Source organism: Homo sapiens, chromosome 5 (genome assembly GCF_000001405.40).
Source record: "Homo sapiens chromosome 5, GRCh38.p14 Primary Assembly".
NCBI classification, from domain to species: Eukaryota; Metazoa; Chordata; class Mammalia; order Primates; family Hominidae; genus Homo; species Homo sapiens.
Window position 1 is genome coordinate 30162456 of NC_000005.10, and position 17912 is coordinate 30180367.

Genomic DNA, 17912 nt, shown 5'->3' on the forward strand with positions numbered 1-17912 from the left:
CCCCTTACATTACCGTCAAATCTCCTGAGACTTATTCACTATCATGAGAACAGCATGGTGGGAAAGATGATTCAATTACCTCCCACAGGGTTTCTCCCACAACACGTGGAAATTCAAGATGCGATTTGGGTGGGAACATAGCCAACATATATCAGTTAAGATGCTGAATTCTAGTATTAACTATTTGAAATTAAAATTCTGTTCATTTACCTGTTGACTGTGTGACTTTTGGCAAGGTATTGAAACTATGGCTTAGTTTCTAAATCTGAAAATTAAAAATATAATAGCATTTACCTCTTATGCCTCTTGGGTAGAAGATTAAAAAAATTTAAATATGTAATGTGCTTAAAATGTGTCCAAAATATTGTAAGTACTCACTAAATATTAGGAAGAGGAGCTGGAAAGGGCATGGTGCGAGAGGAAGCTGATCTTTCCCTGAAGTCCAGCAGTTTCCAATGGGGCTACTCTCTGAAGTTGTACCATCCGAAGTTAGTCTCGGACGCTCAGTTGCTTCTTCTCCTCTCAACATTCAGCTGCTTATCTCTCTTCCAGCTGAGGCCTGGGGTTTATATGGGCACAGGACAGGGAGGGTGGGGGTGGAGAGCAGAGTAGGCCAAAAAATTAACATTTGAGCAGAAAAACAGGGATAACTGCTCTTATTTATGGTCGTGTTTTCCAGGCTTGAGGGTGGGACCTTTTCCGGGGAACTGCCCTCTTCTACCCAGTATTTCCCTACCTCCTGTTCATATTGTAATGATTAAATTGTTTGCAATATTTGATGCTGTAGAAACAGTAAGGAGGGATTTTTACCTTCACCTTTACCTTCACCTTAACATGCCCATGGGAGAAATTCTTTATGATTTTATGACTTTTGATATCCTGTAGCCAGTGACCACCAGGAATTCACCAGCAGTTCATCAGTTGGGTTTGTCAGTTTTTTTATTAATATGCTGGAGAGAACTACAGGGCACCTCAGGAAAAGTGTGTTAAAAGAGGCTTAATACATGGTTTGGATTTGTGCCAGGGGATTTGGAGGACAATTTAAGAAAATGCCAGTTTGTTCTGGATTGGGTGTTGTCAAAAGCAAGGGCAGTTCTGATTGGTTATCCATAAATACATTTTTGATAACAGTCATCCTAACGGGTATGGAGTGGATCATATTGTGGTTTTGATTTACGTTTTCCTAATGATTAGTGATGTCAAGCATCTTTTTTATGTGCTTTTCTGCCATTTTATATCTTCTTGAAGAAATGTTTATTCTGTTTCTTTGTCCGTTTTTGAACAGTGATATGGTTTGGCTTTGTGTCCCCCCGCCCCCCATATCACATCTCGAATTGTAATCCCCACGTGTTGGAGTAGGGGCTTGGTGGGAGGTGATTGTATCATAGGGGTGGACTTTCTCCTTGCTGTTCTTGTGATAGTGTGTGAGTTATCACAAGATGTGGTTGTTTGAAAATGTGTGGCACTTTCCGCTTCACTCGCTGTCTCCCTCCTCCTCTGCCATGGTAAGACGTGCTTGCTTCCCCTTCACATTCTTCAATGATTGTAAGTTTCCTGAGGCCTCCTATTCATGCTTCCTGTTAAGCCTGTGGAACTGTGAGTCAATTAAACTTGTTTTATTCATAAATTACCCAGTCTCCAGTAGTTCTTCACAGCAGTGTGAGACCAGACAAATACAAATAGATTATTTGTTTTTTACTTGTTAAGCCATACAAGATTTTTATATATTCTAGATATCAACTCCTTATCAGATACACGATTTGCAAAAGTTTCTCTTATCACGTGGCTGGCTTTTTTACTCTGTTGGTAATGTCTTTCAATTTGAAAACTTCTAGTTTTTGTGAGATCCAACTCCCTTTTTTTTCCTTTTGTAGCCTGTGCTTTTGGGGTGATATTCAAAAACATCATTTCCAGAAAGCTATTTAGTTCAGTCCCTAATATTCATTCTAGTCCCCCTACTGAATTATCTTGTTTATAGTTATTTGATTGGTTATCTTGGAGTTCCTATTTAGATGATCCTTGTAGACAGTCACTTCTTTTTCAACATTTATCATTGATTTTTTTTCTTTCCTTTCTGCAGTTGATAAAGTCGAGGGATTTTCAAGCTAAATTATTGTAAAGCTAATTTTATCTTAATAATTTTTTGAAATTTACATTTGATTTTGTCAGGATTTGCATAAAGCTGAAGGCTATGGAGCAGATCCTAAATGTATTATAAATAATGCCAATGCAGTTTCAGAGAGAAAAGCAAAAACATATTGAGAAATAAAGGAGAAAGATTAGTTACATAATTTAGGTAATAAAGAGGAGCATGTCAATAAGAAATGAGAGTTTAGATGACAATATATTATATTTTGCAAATAGAGGTAGAGAAATGCTTGTCCTTTTTAGGCCATCAGGGTTTGTAAGAATGATAGATGAGAAGAGACTAATCTGAAGTATTTCTACAATTTATTGTACAACGTATTATAGTGCCAGAACTGCCCAAAGTTTCCAGACAGTATCTAACCTAATTGCAGAGAGGTAGTAAAGACTGACAATGGTACTACCTACTTCTGTGATAGTGGCAGTGTTGTGGTGCTGATGAGTGAGGCAGCTGGTTCTTTGCTTTCTGACAAACTTTAGAGAAATGATCTAGACAGTGAACTTATTCATCTAGCTATATCTATTAATACTTTAATAGCTAAACAATACCTCAGTACATGTAGTAAAAAAAATGTTGAATTGCTCAAAAGAATTGAGAATTAAGAGGTGAAAAACTCTGCTAATCACCACAACAATGCCACCTTATGGCATTGTCCCAATTCTCACTTCAGAGCTAACAACACCGAGCAAGTTGTGATATATCTTTCCAGAGTTTTAAAAATGAATTTTAGAATCCATAGGTACATAAATAGATATAGTAATTTAGCTTACTTTCTACATACATGAAATCACACTATGCATATTGTTCAGACATTTTCTTTATTCCATCTAATAATGTATCACAGATATATCTTCCTATTTCAAATTGTATCTCGAATTTATTTGTTCTATTATATCATAAAAATTTATCCAGTCTTTTCTGGTTGAATATTTATATCATTTCAAACTTCATATTTTATGCATATGTTAATGATACTATTAATATATCTTTGTACATATTTAGAGGATAGATATATCTAAATTTAGAAATAATTTTCGAACGAGTATACAGATTTTCATATAAAACATAATATATCCTTTGAAAAAAGATTGTATAAATTTATATTCTTGACTTTTGAAATTTAATTAATCCATTAAAGCCAAAGTTAATGCTGTGTTTCCTTTCTATTATGTGAGATGTCATTTACCTTATTTTAAAAATCTGTGTGATTGTTTTACAATTTGAGTATACTTTTGAAATTGCATTAACCTTTTGGTTACATAGAGTTACATGTTAACATTAGAATACTATATTCATGCATTATGAGGAAAACAGCGTTAGTGAAAGGAAGCACAGCCTTTGGAGTCATATGGCTCTGCCTACATTACAGTCCCACTTTCATGATTTGTCACTTTTCTGACCTGGGTAAACAACTTAATCATATGAAGCTTTAGTTTTTTACTCTGTGAAATAGAATTAGTAATGCAAACCTAAAATTTCATACCAGATGTCACCAAAAAAAAATGTTTAATCCCATCAATTATATTTACAAGTGGCTGAAGTCATTAAGTTTACTTAATTTAAATAATATCAGTATTTTTAATCTGGAATAAAAACAAGATCTGTGCATTCAAGGAGCCCTTGATGAAATATTCAATTTTTTGTTAAAATAGAATTTACTTTTTATTTCCATAAGTTTTGGGGAACAGGTGGTGTTTGGTTACATAAATAAGTTATTTAGTGGTGAGTTCTGAGATTTTGGTGCACCTATCACCCAAGCAGTGTACATTGTACCAAACATGTAGTCTTTTATCCCTCACCCTCTACCCACCCTTTCTCCTGGTCCCCAAAGTCCATCGTATTATTCTTATGCCTTTACATCCTCATAGTTTAACTCCCACATATGAGTGAGAATATACAGCGTTAGTTTTTCATTCCTGAGTTACTTACCTTACAATAATCGTCTCCAAATCCATTCAGGTTGCTGCAAAGGCCATTATTTTGTTCTTTTATATGGCTGAGTAGTATTTCATGGTGTGTATATGTACCATGTATATATAGCTGTGATATATATATTACATTTTCTTTATCCACTAATTGATTGATGGGCATTTGGGCTGGTTCCCTATTTTTGCAATTGCATATTGTGCTGCTATAAACATGTGTGTTCAAATATTCCTTTTTATTAGATAATGGCTTCTTTTCCTCTGGGTAGAGACCTAGTAGTGGGCTTGCTAAATCAAATGGTAGATGTACTTTTAGTTTTTAAAAAAATTTCCACACTGTTTTCCATAGTGGTTGTACTAGTTTACATTCCCATCAATAGCATAAAAGCTCTCCCTTTTCACTGCATCCATGCCAACATCTACTATTTTTTTATTTTTTGATTATAGCCATTATTGCAGGAGTAATGTGCTATCGCATTGTGGTTTGGATTTGCATTTCCCTGATAATTACTGATGTTGAGCATTTTTTCCATATGCTCATTGGCCATTTGTATATCTTCTTTTGATAATTGTCTATTCATGTTCTTAGCCCATTTTTTTGATGAGACTTCTTGTTTTATTGCTGATATGTTTGACTTCCTTGTAGATTCTGGATATTAGTCCTTTGTAGGCTGTATAGATTGTGAAGATTTTCTCCCACTCTGTGGGGTGTCTGTTTACTCTGCTGATTGTTTCTTTTGCTGTGCAGAAGCTTTTTAGTTTAATTAAGTCCCATTTATTTATCTTTGCTTTTGTTCCATTTCCTTTTGAGTTCTTGGTAATGAAGTCTTTGTCTAAACCAATGTCTAGAAGTGTTTTTCTGATGTTAAGTTCTAGAATTTTTATGGTTTTGGGTCTTAGATTTAAGTCTTTGATTCATCTTGAGTTGATTTTTGTAGAAAGTGAGAGATGAGGATTCAGTTTCATTCTGCTACATGTGGCTTGCCAATTATCCCAGCACCATTTGTTGAATAGGGTGTATTTTCCCCACTTTATGTTTTTGTTTACTTTGTCAAAGATCAGTTGTCTGTAAGTATTTGGTTTATTTCTGGGTTCTCTATTCTGTTTCATTGGTCTATGTCCCTATTTTTATACCAGAACCATGCTGTTTTGGTGACCATGTTCTTATAGTATAGTTTAAAGTCGCGTAATGTGATGCTTCCATTCAAGACTACTATGAACATCTTTGCATGCATACACTAGAAAACCTAGAGGAGATGGATAAATCCTTGGAAATATACAACTCTCTTAGATTAAACCAGGAAGAAATAGAAACTCTGAACTGACCAATAACAAGTGGTGAGATTGAAATAGTAATTTAAAAATTGCCCACAACAAAAAAGTCCAGGACCAGATGGATCCACAGCTGAATTCTATCAGATAATCAAAGATGAATTGGTACCAATCTTATTGACACTATTCCACAAGATAGAGAAAGAGGGAATTCTCCCTCAATCTTTCTATGAAGCCCATATTACCCTAATACCAAAATCAGGAAAGGACATAACAAGAAAAGAAAACTACAGACCAATATCTCTGATGAATATAGATGAAAGAATCATTAATAAAATACTAGCTAACTGAATCCAACAGCATATCAAAGATACAATCCACCATGATCAAGTGGGTTTAATACAAGGGATGCAGGGATGGTTTAACATAGGCAAGTCAATGAATGTGATACACCACATAAACAGAATTAAAAACAAAAATTATAAGATCATCTCAGTAGATGCAGGAAAAGCATTTGACAAAATCCAGCATCCTTTATGATTAAAACCCTCTGCAAAATCGGCATAGAAGGGAGATAGCTTCAGGTAATAAAAGTCATCTATGACACACCCACAGCCAACATAATACTGAATGGGGAAAAGTTGAAAGCATTTCCCCTGAGAAGTGGAACAAGACAAGGATGCCCACTCTCACCACTTCTGTTCAACATAGTACTGGAAGTCCTAGCCACAGCAATCAAACAGAAATAATTAAAGGGCATCCAAATCAGTAAAGAAGTCAAACTGTGGCTTTTCACTAGGTATATAATTGTATACCTAGAAAATACTAAAGACTCCTCCAAAAAGCTCCTAGAACTGATACATGAATTCAGCAAAGTTTCAGGATACAAAATTAATGTACATGATCAGTAGCTCTGCTATACACCAACGGTGACCAGGCTAATGATCAAATCAAGAATTCAACCCCTTTTACAATAGCTGCAAAAAAAAATTAAAATACTTAGGAACATATCTATCCGAGGACATGAAAGACCTCTACAAATAAAACTACAAAACACTACTGAAAGAAACTGTGACACAAACAAATGGAAACATATCTCATGCTCATGGATGGGTAGAATTAATATTGTTAAAATAACCATACTGCCAAAAGCAATCTACAAATTCAATGCAATTCCCATCAAAATACCACCACCATTCTTCACAGAACTAGAAAAAACAATCCTAAAATTCATATGGAACAAAAAAAGAGCCTTCATAACCAAAGCAAGACTAAGCAAAAAGAATAAAATTGAAAATTTTAACAAAGTACCCTTAGAATTCTGAGCTTTAAGCAACAGGTTTATTAATGTGCTGTATAAGATATATTCAGATATGGCCGGGAGTGGTGGCTCATGCCTATAATCCCAGAGCTTTGGGAGGCTGAGGCGGGTGGATCACCTGAGGTCAGGGGTTCCAAACCAGCCTGGCCAACATAGTGAAAATACAAAATTACTACTAAAAATACAAAAATTTGCTGGGTGTGGTGGTGGATACCTGTAATTCCAGATACTCGAGAGGCTGAGGCCGGAGAATCACTTGAACCCGGGAGGTGGAGGTTGCAGTGAGCCAATATTGTGCTATTGCACTCCAGCCTGCGCAACAAGAGTGAAACTCCATCTAAAATATATATAATATATATATATATGTATATACTCAGATATTTGTTCAGCTATATTTGCATTTTAGCTGTTATTTTTTTTTTGGAATTGGAACTGTGTCTACTGAAGAATAGAACCTATAAATAGAATAAATAGAAATCAAAGTCATATTTTTGAACATCTAATATATTATACCTTCTGTTTCATTATATAAGATTAGTTGGTGAATAAGGGAAAATGGAGAAAAATAATGTGACATGCGTATGGATAAATTTTTGTTAGTTTTGATAAACTTTTGAAAGCACTTTTATTGGACACATTTATTTCATATTTATTAATGAATCCATGTACACAAATCCTATACCATTACTTTTGTCTGGCATATATATATATATATATATATATATATATATATATATATATATATATAAAATATTTACACCACAGGGGTAAAAAAGGGTAACAAAATAATTAAAACATAGAAAATAGGTGGAGATACTTCATTTGTGAAAGGAGTACATAAATATAAATCATTCATTCGGAAACTTAAGTCAGGTTAAATTAGTTGTATAAATGTATAATCATGATGTGGTTAAAATGTATGTTACCCTCACAATAGGCTAATAATAATAACACCTTATGAAATAAAATCACAACATCTTGGTAAGCATGCAATTATGAGGAATTTTTATAAACATTCTGCTCATATTATTTGGTTGAATCACTAAGATTTTTACAGAATAAAAGTGTATGTTAAAATGGATTAATCATGGCTTATCATTTACACAGAACATTTCTCTTTAAATATGTTGGGTTTGACCACGGTGTTTTAACAGTATAAGGAGTGTCTAATGGATTCCCTCGAGCAGAATCTGAGACAAGGTTTCTTGTGGAGGTGATTTATTAAGAAAATGGTCCCAGGAGAATCTGGTAAGGGACTAAAGGGAGGCCTGTTGGAAAAGGGGAAAGAAGTCAACCAGGTAAATACTGGCCTCAGCTTTATTCAGCAAGGCTCAGGGTCATGAAAACCACTGCAGAGTTTGTTTTTCATTGATATGAGAGTGCTACACTTTCTTAATCCTACACTAGTCAATTGTTGGGGTTGGTGTGTTGAAATTCCAGCACATTTGGTTCTTGGAACATCTGAAGATCTGGGCATGTGGTACAATTTAGAACCATTAAGGGAACCCTAGATGATCAGGACAAGATCACTGACTGTAGTTGCTGCAAAGAATTCGAATAAGTTTGGTGGACAGAATTGTAAAAGACATTTCGCTTTAATTCTGTAACATTCCTAGTAACTGAGCTCTTTTAACATCATATTTCATAATTATGAATCACTAGGAGAAACGATCATAAATTCATTGAGAAAATAGTCAATGAATAACAATGATAATCCCAATATTAAGTCAGCAGAAGCTGTGGGGTGGGGATTTATAAATGATTACATAAATGGAGATTCTTCTTATGTGACGTGAAATGCTGTGTTGTGATGAGGAATCATAACATAAACATGATATTAACATTAATGTGCTGAGAAATTAACATCCATGGAGCAACCACCATATGCTAGGTATGTTATAATCCATATTTAATTTCACTTTTAATATAACCTATTTTGTAGGTATTATTTTTCTATTTTAGAAATGAAGATACTGAGAGTATAGAAAATTTAATAATTTGTCCAAGCCTACAGTTATTGACTGAACTTGGAACTCGTCAGTTCTCTCAGTGCTAAGATTTGTACTATTTTCAAAAGCATTCTATATATTTCCTGGAATATATTTTTGATTATTAGATTTTTGGGATTAGAATTAAAAAGTTGATTTAAGCCTGTGAATAGAAATTTTCCTCTTGGGATTTTGATCATTTCCTTAAATAATAAGAATGATGCTTTTACACTGTTGGTGGGAGTGTAAATTAGTTCAACCATTGTGGAAGACAGTGTGGCGATTCATCAAGGATCTAGAACTAGAAATACCATTTGACCCAGCAATCCTATTACTGGGCATATACCCAAAGGATTATAAATCATTCTATTATAAAGACATATGCACATGTATGTTTACTGAGGCACCGTTCACAATAGCAAAGACTTGGAACCAACCCAAATGTTCATCAATGATAGACTGGATTAAGAAAATGTGGCACACATACACTATGGAATACTATGCAGCCATAAAAAAGGATGAGTTCATGTCCTTTGCAGGGACATGGATGAAGCTGGAAACCATCATTCTCAGCAAAGTAACACAGGGACAGAAAACCAAACACTGCATGTTCTCACTTATAAGTGGGAGTTGAACAATGAGAACACATGGACACGAGGAGGCGAACATCACACACTGGGGCCTGTTGGAGGGCAGGGAGCTAGGGGAGGGATAATATCAGGAGAAATACCTAATGTAGGTGACGGGCTGATGGGTGCAGCAAACCACCACGGCACATGTATACTTATGTAACAAAACTGCACGTTCTGCACATGTAACCCAGAACTTAAAGTATAATTTTTTAAAAAAAGAATGATGCCACCACTAGATGTTAGAATGTAAACAGTAAATCTGAGTAAAGAATCAAGAAGCAAAATTTTACTAGTCTGTAAGAAACAGCCATGCACATGGCATAATCTAATAAACTTGCATCTCTGAGTAGGATAGTAGGCAAGCCTATCTTCTGCCTGGGCCTTAAAAAAATAATGAAATAAAATTTTTCTCCTGTTCTTCTTCCCCATCTGATTTAAAATTTCTTTTTTAATAAATATTCAATTTTATAAACAACTAAATTAGTTGACCCATGTGGATATGGACAGAGTAGGAAAAAAAAACAGTAATAGGCTATGCTAACTTTTATTGCATTTAATCCATAGATTTAATTATGAGTCAAGTATTTGTGTGTGTGTGTGCGCATGCACGTGTGTGTGTGTAAATTTGTGGTGTTAATTCACTGTCATAGAGAAAATATTCATGTACACTTAGGCTCTGCATACTCAATCTCCTGAAAGACTTTTAGTGATGACTTTCAGCAGTAGTTTGAAGAAGGTTTAAATGAGGGTAAGAAATATGTAACCTCTATAATCACATCCTCTTTAATCACCATATTAGTTTTTTTTAATCTCATTATCAGAGGTTGTTTTTAACAGAATTTTATGTCCCCCACAATGGAAGAGACAAACATAGAGTTGCAGGCAAACAATTACATTTTTCAGGATGCAAAGGAGACCTGACTTTCAAAAAAACTTGGGAAATGTATTTTCTGACTGATACCAACTTCAGGTACAGAAGAAGAAGAGTTTTGTTTTCAAAGTGTATTCATTTCCTAGGTCTGCTATAACAAAGTACCACAAACTGGGTGGCTTAAAACAACAGACATCTGTTGTTTCACAGTCCTGGAGGCTAACAGTTCAAAATCAGGGTATCTGTAGGTCTGTGCTTCCTCTGAAACATGTAGGGAAGAATCCTTCCTTGCCTGTTCCTAGCTTCGGGTGATAGCCATCAATCATCAGCATTCCATGGTTTGTAGATGCATCATTTCAATCTCTGCCTCCATCTTCTCATGGAGCTCTCCCTGTGTGTCTGTCTTCACATGATTATCTTCACATGGCCACCAGTCATATTGGATTAGGAGTACATCCTACTGCAACATGAACTAATCTTAACTTGTGGCATCTGCAATATCCCTGTTTCCAAAGAAGGTCACATTTGGAAGAACTGCAGATTTGGACTTATCTTTCTTAAGAGGAACATAATTCAGTCTATTACATAAGGGGAATATAGGCAATAGGCATACTGGTAGGAAATCACAGCCTCTGCTGTAGTCCGGAGACCCACAATTATTGACCATGATTCAGTTTGTTTTTTGACTGGAAGTAGGTCTCGAGTTCTGAAGGAGTAGAGAGAAAAGATCTGGTGATAATTAGCCAGACAAAACAATCAATTCTTCTTTAAATACAACTTGATATTTAGCCCATAATCTGGTAATAAAATGATAAGTGCATTATATTTATTGAAGTTTCTATTCTGGAAACATTTCTCACAATTTATGCTGATAAGTTCCATGTTAAAAACAAATATGTAGTTATTAATTTACAATTTATAAATTCTCAAGAGGTAATAGATTTTTCAATTAGGAATGGTTCTGCTTTGAATTTATTAAGATAATTAGGACAATCTGACACATAAAAAATAAATTGATTAATCATCCAAACTTTTCTTGTGAAGCTAGTAATTTCATTAAGTTTCACGTGCCCAGTTTGCAAGACAATTGTCTTTTACCTTTCTTCTGCTGAGAACGTTTTTTTTTTTAAAAAAAAAAAAAGAGGATATTTTAAAGGTTGATCTGAAAAGCTTTTCTGTGAAAACAGTTGTGCCTTGTCAAATATTAAGAAGAAAAGATGAGAAGTGATTCATTTAGGCAATAACACCGGTGACAATGAGCTGTGAAAGGTTTTATTTTTATAATAGAACTAATTCAAGAAGTAACTATGGAAAAGTTGAAACCCCGTGAGCTTGTAAAGCACACTGCTGTAATTATCTCTGCTTTCTGCTTCTTTCACAGGAATGAAATCACTTCAAACAAAACTACTTTAAAAAGAGACAAAGAAAGCCCCCATATCTAATATCCTCATGCCCAGGAAAAGTCAGTGATTTTAATGACTGCAAAACAAAGTCCCATAAAATGAATGGCATTGAGTAGTGTGAGCATAATTTCCATTTTTTGCCTTCCTTTTAGGAAACTGTCTTTATGCTTTGTTTTTTAAAAAAGGTAAAAATAAAATAAACCTTTACAATGGCAACTGGAACTGTTAGTAAATTGCAGATTTTTGTTTCCACACAAGACCATTCTAAAGAGAAAACTTGCTTTTTTATTAGTAAATGTAATAAAATACAACACTTATTTCTAACATTTTGCTTTCAATCATTCAAACATTAACTTTTGAGCATAATTGAAATAGTCTTTAAATGACATTATGTTTCAATCTAATTACCAAGAATGCTTACAAAATAACTATTTGTTAACTCGATTAAAGCAATAGAAATCACTCCAACAAATAAAGCAAATAATATGAGTTAAAAAGGATTATTGATGATTAAATTATATATTTTTATTAGGTGTTGTTTAGCTATATGGTGCATGTGGTAAAATTCACCTTTTTGTTGTGCAATTTTATGCTTTGCATCATTTGAGCCCATATAGTAACCATCACAATCAAAATATAGAAAGGTTCCATCACCCCAAAACATTCCCTGATGTTGTCATTATACAGTCATTCCCTCTCACTCCCCACAGCTTCAAGACACCACTGATGAGTTTCCTATTTGTATACTTTTCTAAAATGTCATGTGAATGAAATTATATAGAGTAAAACTTTTTAACTCAGGCTTCTTTCATTTGAAATTCATTCACGTTATTGCATGTGGCAGTGGTTATTCCTTTTAATTGTTGAGGAGTATAGCGTTTCTGTCTTCTTGCCAGTTTTGATCTGCACATTTTCAGTTACTCAAGGTCAATTGCAGTCCAAAATTATTAAATGGAAAACTTCAGAATTAGACAATTCATAGGTGTTTAATTACACACATGGCTTTCTGAGTAGCATGATTCAATCTTGTTTCATCTCACTGTCTCACCTGGGACGTGACTCCTCACTTTGTCCAGCAGATCCACACTGTGGACCCTTTGGCTCATCAATCACTTAATAGCTGTCTAGGTTTTTAGACTGACTGTTATGGTATCTAAGTACTTGTACAACAAGGAACCCTTATTTTACCTCATAATGGCTCCAAAACACAAGAGTAGGGATGCCAGCCATTCAGATATTCCAAAGAGAAGACATAAAGTGTTTTCTTTAAGGGAAAAGGTGAAAGTCCTCAACTTAAGGAAAGAAAAAAAAAATCTTCTTCTGAGGTTCCTCAGATCTATAGTCAGAACAAATCTACCCATAAAACTGTGGAGAAGAAAAAAAAACTCATGCTAGTATTGCTGTGGCATCACACTGCAAAAGTTGTCACTATAGTGTGTGATAAGTGCTTAGCTATAATGGAAAAGGCATTAAAATTTTGGGTGGAAGGCATGAACTGAAATGGGTACTGATTGACAGCAACGTGTTGCACCACAAACCATTAAGCCTACACAAAGACTTCAGCAAGGGATCCCCTGTAAAATGTCACACCGAGCCATTTGCTGCAAGTAAGAGATGGTTACACAGATTCAGGAATAGGATTGGACTGAAAAATATAAAACTTACTGGAGAGGCTTTGTCTGCTCATGAAGAAGTTTCTCCTTCATGAGTATAGTAAAATATTTTGAAAGAGAGGGAAGCCACATTCATATAACTTTTATTACAGCATATTGTTACAATTGTTCTATTTTATTAATAGTTATTGTTATTAATCTTTTGCTATGTCTAATTTATAAGTTAGACTTTATTATAGTTTTGTATGTACAGGGAAAAAAATACATAGTATATGTAGGGTTTGGTACTATCTGAGGTTTCAGGCATCTACTGGAGGTCTTGGAACATACTCCCCCATGGACAAAGGAGGACAACTGTATCTGATTGTAGGATTATAAGGCAGTTTGTTTATCCATTTATCAGATGAAGGACATTTGAATTCTTCTAGTTTTTGGTGACTAGGAATAAAGCTGTTATAAACATTCATATATGGGTTTTTGTATGAACATAGCTTTCAAGTTGTTTGGGTAAAAGCCTATAAATGAGATAGCTGGATAGTACAAGGGACTAGGGGAAGCCTGTTTAGCTTTATAAGAAACTGCCAATCTGTTTTCCAAACTGGCTGTGTCACCAGACATATATAGGAGTCCCAGTCGGTTTGTGTTCTGTGCCAGTGTTTATAATTGCCATTTTATTTTACTTTTGCTATTCTAGTAGGTGTGCAGAAAATATTCTTTACAAAATAAAAAGTAGAAAGAGCAAACTGATCATTTAAGTAAAGTCATTTAGTTGAGCATAAAAAATAACGTCAAGAAGTGAATGTCTCTTGTGTTCTCATAAGTAAAGCCTAGTTCTCTTCAGAATGAATTCATAGGGCAGGTGCAGTGGCTCACGCTTGTAATCCCAGCACTTTGGGAGGCCGAGGTGGGCAGATCACGAGGTCAGGAGTTTGATATCAGCCTGGCCAACACAGTGTAAGCCAGTCTCTACTAAAAGTACGAAAATTGGCCAGGCGTGGTGGTAAGTGCCTGTAATCCCAGCTACTCGGGAGGCTGAGGCAGGAGAATCGCTTGAACCCGGGAGGCAGAGGTTGCAGTGAGCCAAGATTGCGCCACTGCACTCCAGCCTGAGTGACAGAGCTAGACTCCATCTCAAAAAAAAAAAAAAAAAGAGAATGAATTCATAGATATTGTCATCAATTCAAGATATTTTATAGTTTCATGAATTGACAAATTTTGGTGTTATACCAGTATATGTCTTCAGCAGATATCTCCATAGCTATCGGCAATTAACTATTCTCTTTTTGGCCACTAGATATCTGCATAAAACACAAAATTGTTAATTTTTTAGGTGAAAAGATAGATTGAGTACCCAACTTTTTTCTCAACTAAATTTCAATAAGCAATATAAATGGAATTAAATTGAAAAGAAGCAAATACATTTCCTAAGCACTATAATACTTGGAGCAAGAAGTATACAGTTTAATTATAATACATTGTAGGATTTGGGTCATAAACAAAATTACTTCAAGTTTTACACTTCAAGAAATATAAAAACTCTAGGATTTAAGAAAAGTAAAAATACCCCAATCACTAGCTTTTGTTTTAATATCAATAATAAGCAGAAGGCAACATCTCTGACAACCATTGTCTAATTCTAATTTTTTGTAAAGTTTTATCATCTTAATCTCATTAGTGATGGACTCAGTTCTAGATAATTTTACTTATTTAGCAGATATTTTATAAATGCATTGTAGCTCTCATAGAGTTAGCTTTAGTAATTAAAAGTTGACAAGTTGCTTTCTCAAGGTCATTCCAGGAATTCAGGAATCTGACACTTTGCAAAGGTCCTGAAAAAATGGGATGATTCCATAGAGCGAATGTTTAAATTTTGATTGCACACGCACAAAAAAGAAAAATATAAGTATAAATAGAGCACCATATTGGGGAAACACTTAATAAAGAGCTTCAATTTGTTGCATCCATTATTCTACTTGAGCTTTATTGCTATATGATTTTGGGAGTAGTTTACTTAATGTTTTCTTCAGTTAATTTCCACAGCATTGACAAAGTGTGTTTATTAAATATAAAAAGTATGTAAAATTTGAAAAATATTAATGACTTATATTTTATATAACTATTAAAATATGTTTACAACTAAAATAATTTATAATTGTTTATAACTTATTTTATTGATACTCTATGCAAAGAGAATGCACAGAATTGGGTGTCATCACGGTGCTTTTTTCTTCATTTTTCTATTGCAACAAATCAAACTATGTTAGCATTATGCTGAAATTATAAGAAAACTGTTTTCCTCAAAGTTACTGAATAGGTTGGTCATGCAAAAATATATAATGGAAACCGGATAAATTTTCATATTGTTATCTTCTCAGTATCTTCTTAATGAAGGAGATTGCAACTGTCATTTCTGTGCTCCAAAGAGGCTCTGGTTTACCAGAGACATTGTGGCATATTTTTTGTATGCTTTAAGACTAAATTTAATGTGCCAGAATATAACAAGGGCACAAAGACAATAGAGGCTGATACCTGTCAAACTCGACCAAGCTAATTAGGATAAACTGACATGCAGGCAGTTAATTGTGTCAGATGAAATATCACACTTTAATTATGTGTTTAAGAGATCTGGTACTAGCTTCAACCCAATCACTTTTTATTGCAAAAGTTCTAGCTACTTCCATATATGGAATTTTTTGTTTGGTTTTTGGTATTTTTTTAGGAGAGGAGTAAAATTCAAAAATTATTTTTTTTATACATTAGCCTTCAGGTTTCCACCACTGCTTATAAACTAGATAGGCTAATAAGACAAAAGAGACCTGCGAACTCCCAGAAATAAACCTTCATCCTAAGATTTACCTTAGAGTGGAGCCAAATGGAGAGTTGGTTGTCTGTAGTTTAAAAAGACAAAGCAGAAATAATAAACACTCAAAAACATACCACCAGTTTTGCCTTTAATAGGCATTCAATAAAATTATGTTAAATAATTGTTTATCATTTCCCTATGAAATCTGAACTGAAAAATGTAGCGTAATGAGATTTACAGAATTGAGTTTGAATTCAAAGTTGAATGTAAAGAAAGTATTCACTGAGAGATACTCATCTAAAAATTGTCTCTCAGAGATAGGTTCCCATTGGAAAAAACTTTCTCAATAAATAAAAAACTACTGAGGTGAGTTTAGTTTATATTTTGCAGATATGACTAATACAGTATGTAGAAATGACAAAGGTCTAAAAGAACTGTTAACATTGAAACTAACATATTTTAACCCTTTTATCTTGTAGTTACAGAGTTGGCTAGAGAGGTTAATTAGTGAGCCGAGGTTGCATTTTTTTTTTTTTTGTAGAAGAGTAAACATCATTTTAGGCTAGATCTGAGCCCGAAACCTGATTTGCCATCTAAATATTAGCTATATGACATTGGTTGGACAAGCTACTTGGACCATATATCTTATCCTAAAAAATATAAGCACTTCTGAGTGTAAAACCAGGCAATATAATTATCACAGGACAGTGGCAGAGACCAGGACTATCCCAGGTAAACTGGCAATTAATGATCACTTGCTTATAACTTCTCAGCTTCACTTTCTTCATCTGATACAGTTCCCATCTATTGGTTTGACAAGTCACTCAAAACAAAAATAAAGAAAGAAAGAAAAATAAATAAAGTAAAAGCTACTTCTAGAACTTGTACCTACTTCAGCCCTTTTGCCATCTGTGGCAGGTTTGATAGGTGTTAGTAATTTACAGATATAGAATACAGTAGGTTATTTACTTATCAGAGCCTATAGTAAGGTCATAAAGGAGAGAAAATCATTTTAGTAAACTAGCCAGTCAGAAAGCTCAGAGGTGGCTTTAGATCAGGTACACAACTCAGTTGCTTTTTCTGCCAGTAGCTATGTACACAGTGAAAATCAGATAACCATGCACCTTGGCAAACTGAAGAATCTGAAGTTTTTGATACCCCATAATAACTGTGCAGTTTAGGAAACTGGGATAAGGATAACAGACAGCAGCAAGAGTAGTTAAGAAAACCTGATGCCTACGACTACTTGTACATATCTCCTGCTAATGGTGTCTCAGTTGAATTCGTCCTGGCTCTCACTGACATTTTGGCTGAAGAAATTCAGGAAGAAAATGCATTTATCCTTTCTGTTACCTTTCCCTGATACTTATAAATATATGTCAGAATAGACACTTAACGTCATACTGCTTATTTGCCGTGCTTGGATTTGGTGAAATACCATACCTAGCTAGTTGGGTGAACACTAACCATGGGATACTGACTTGCTAAGAAGATGGAGTGAGACAGCCCAGGTCACTCAGATGCTACCAACAATGAGTTTATAAAATAGCCTTTGAAGACAAAATAGCCTGGTGTGTCTGCAGCAGCCTGTCTCCACATGACTGACTATTGGAACTTTGAATCGCTTTTTTACAGTGAACACATCCCTGGTAGAAGGATGAAGGCTGGCAGGTGACTTGTTGAGACAGCTTCTCCCTTCCATGAAGATGCACAACATTGTGTCAGGAGGGTGTCTTCTCCAAACACCAAGCCTTCCATATGCCATTAACAACAATTACCCCAGAATATGTTGACTCATCCACACCCACGATCTGATTTTGCTCTTGTTTTTAAAAAAAAGGGATGTCCCTGCTGGCTCAAGACAGGGATGAGTCAACTTGCGACTGTGTGTTTTTAAGACCTTTACTACTCTCGCTGATATCATTAATTTATCTCTAC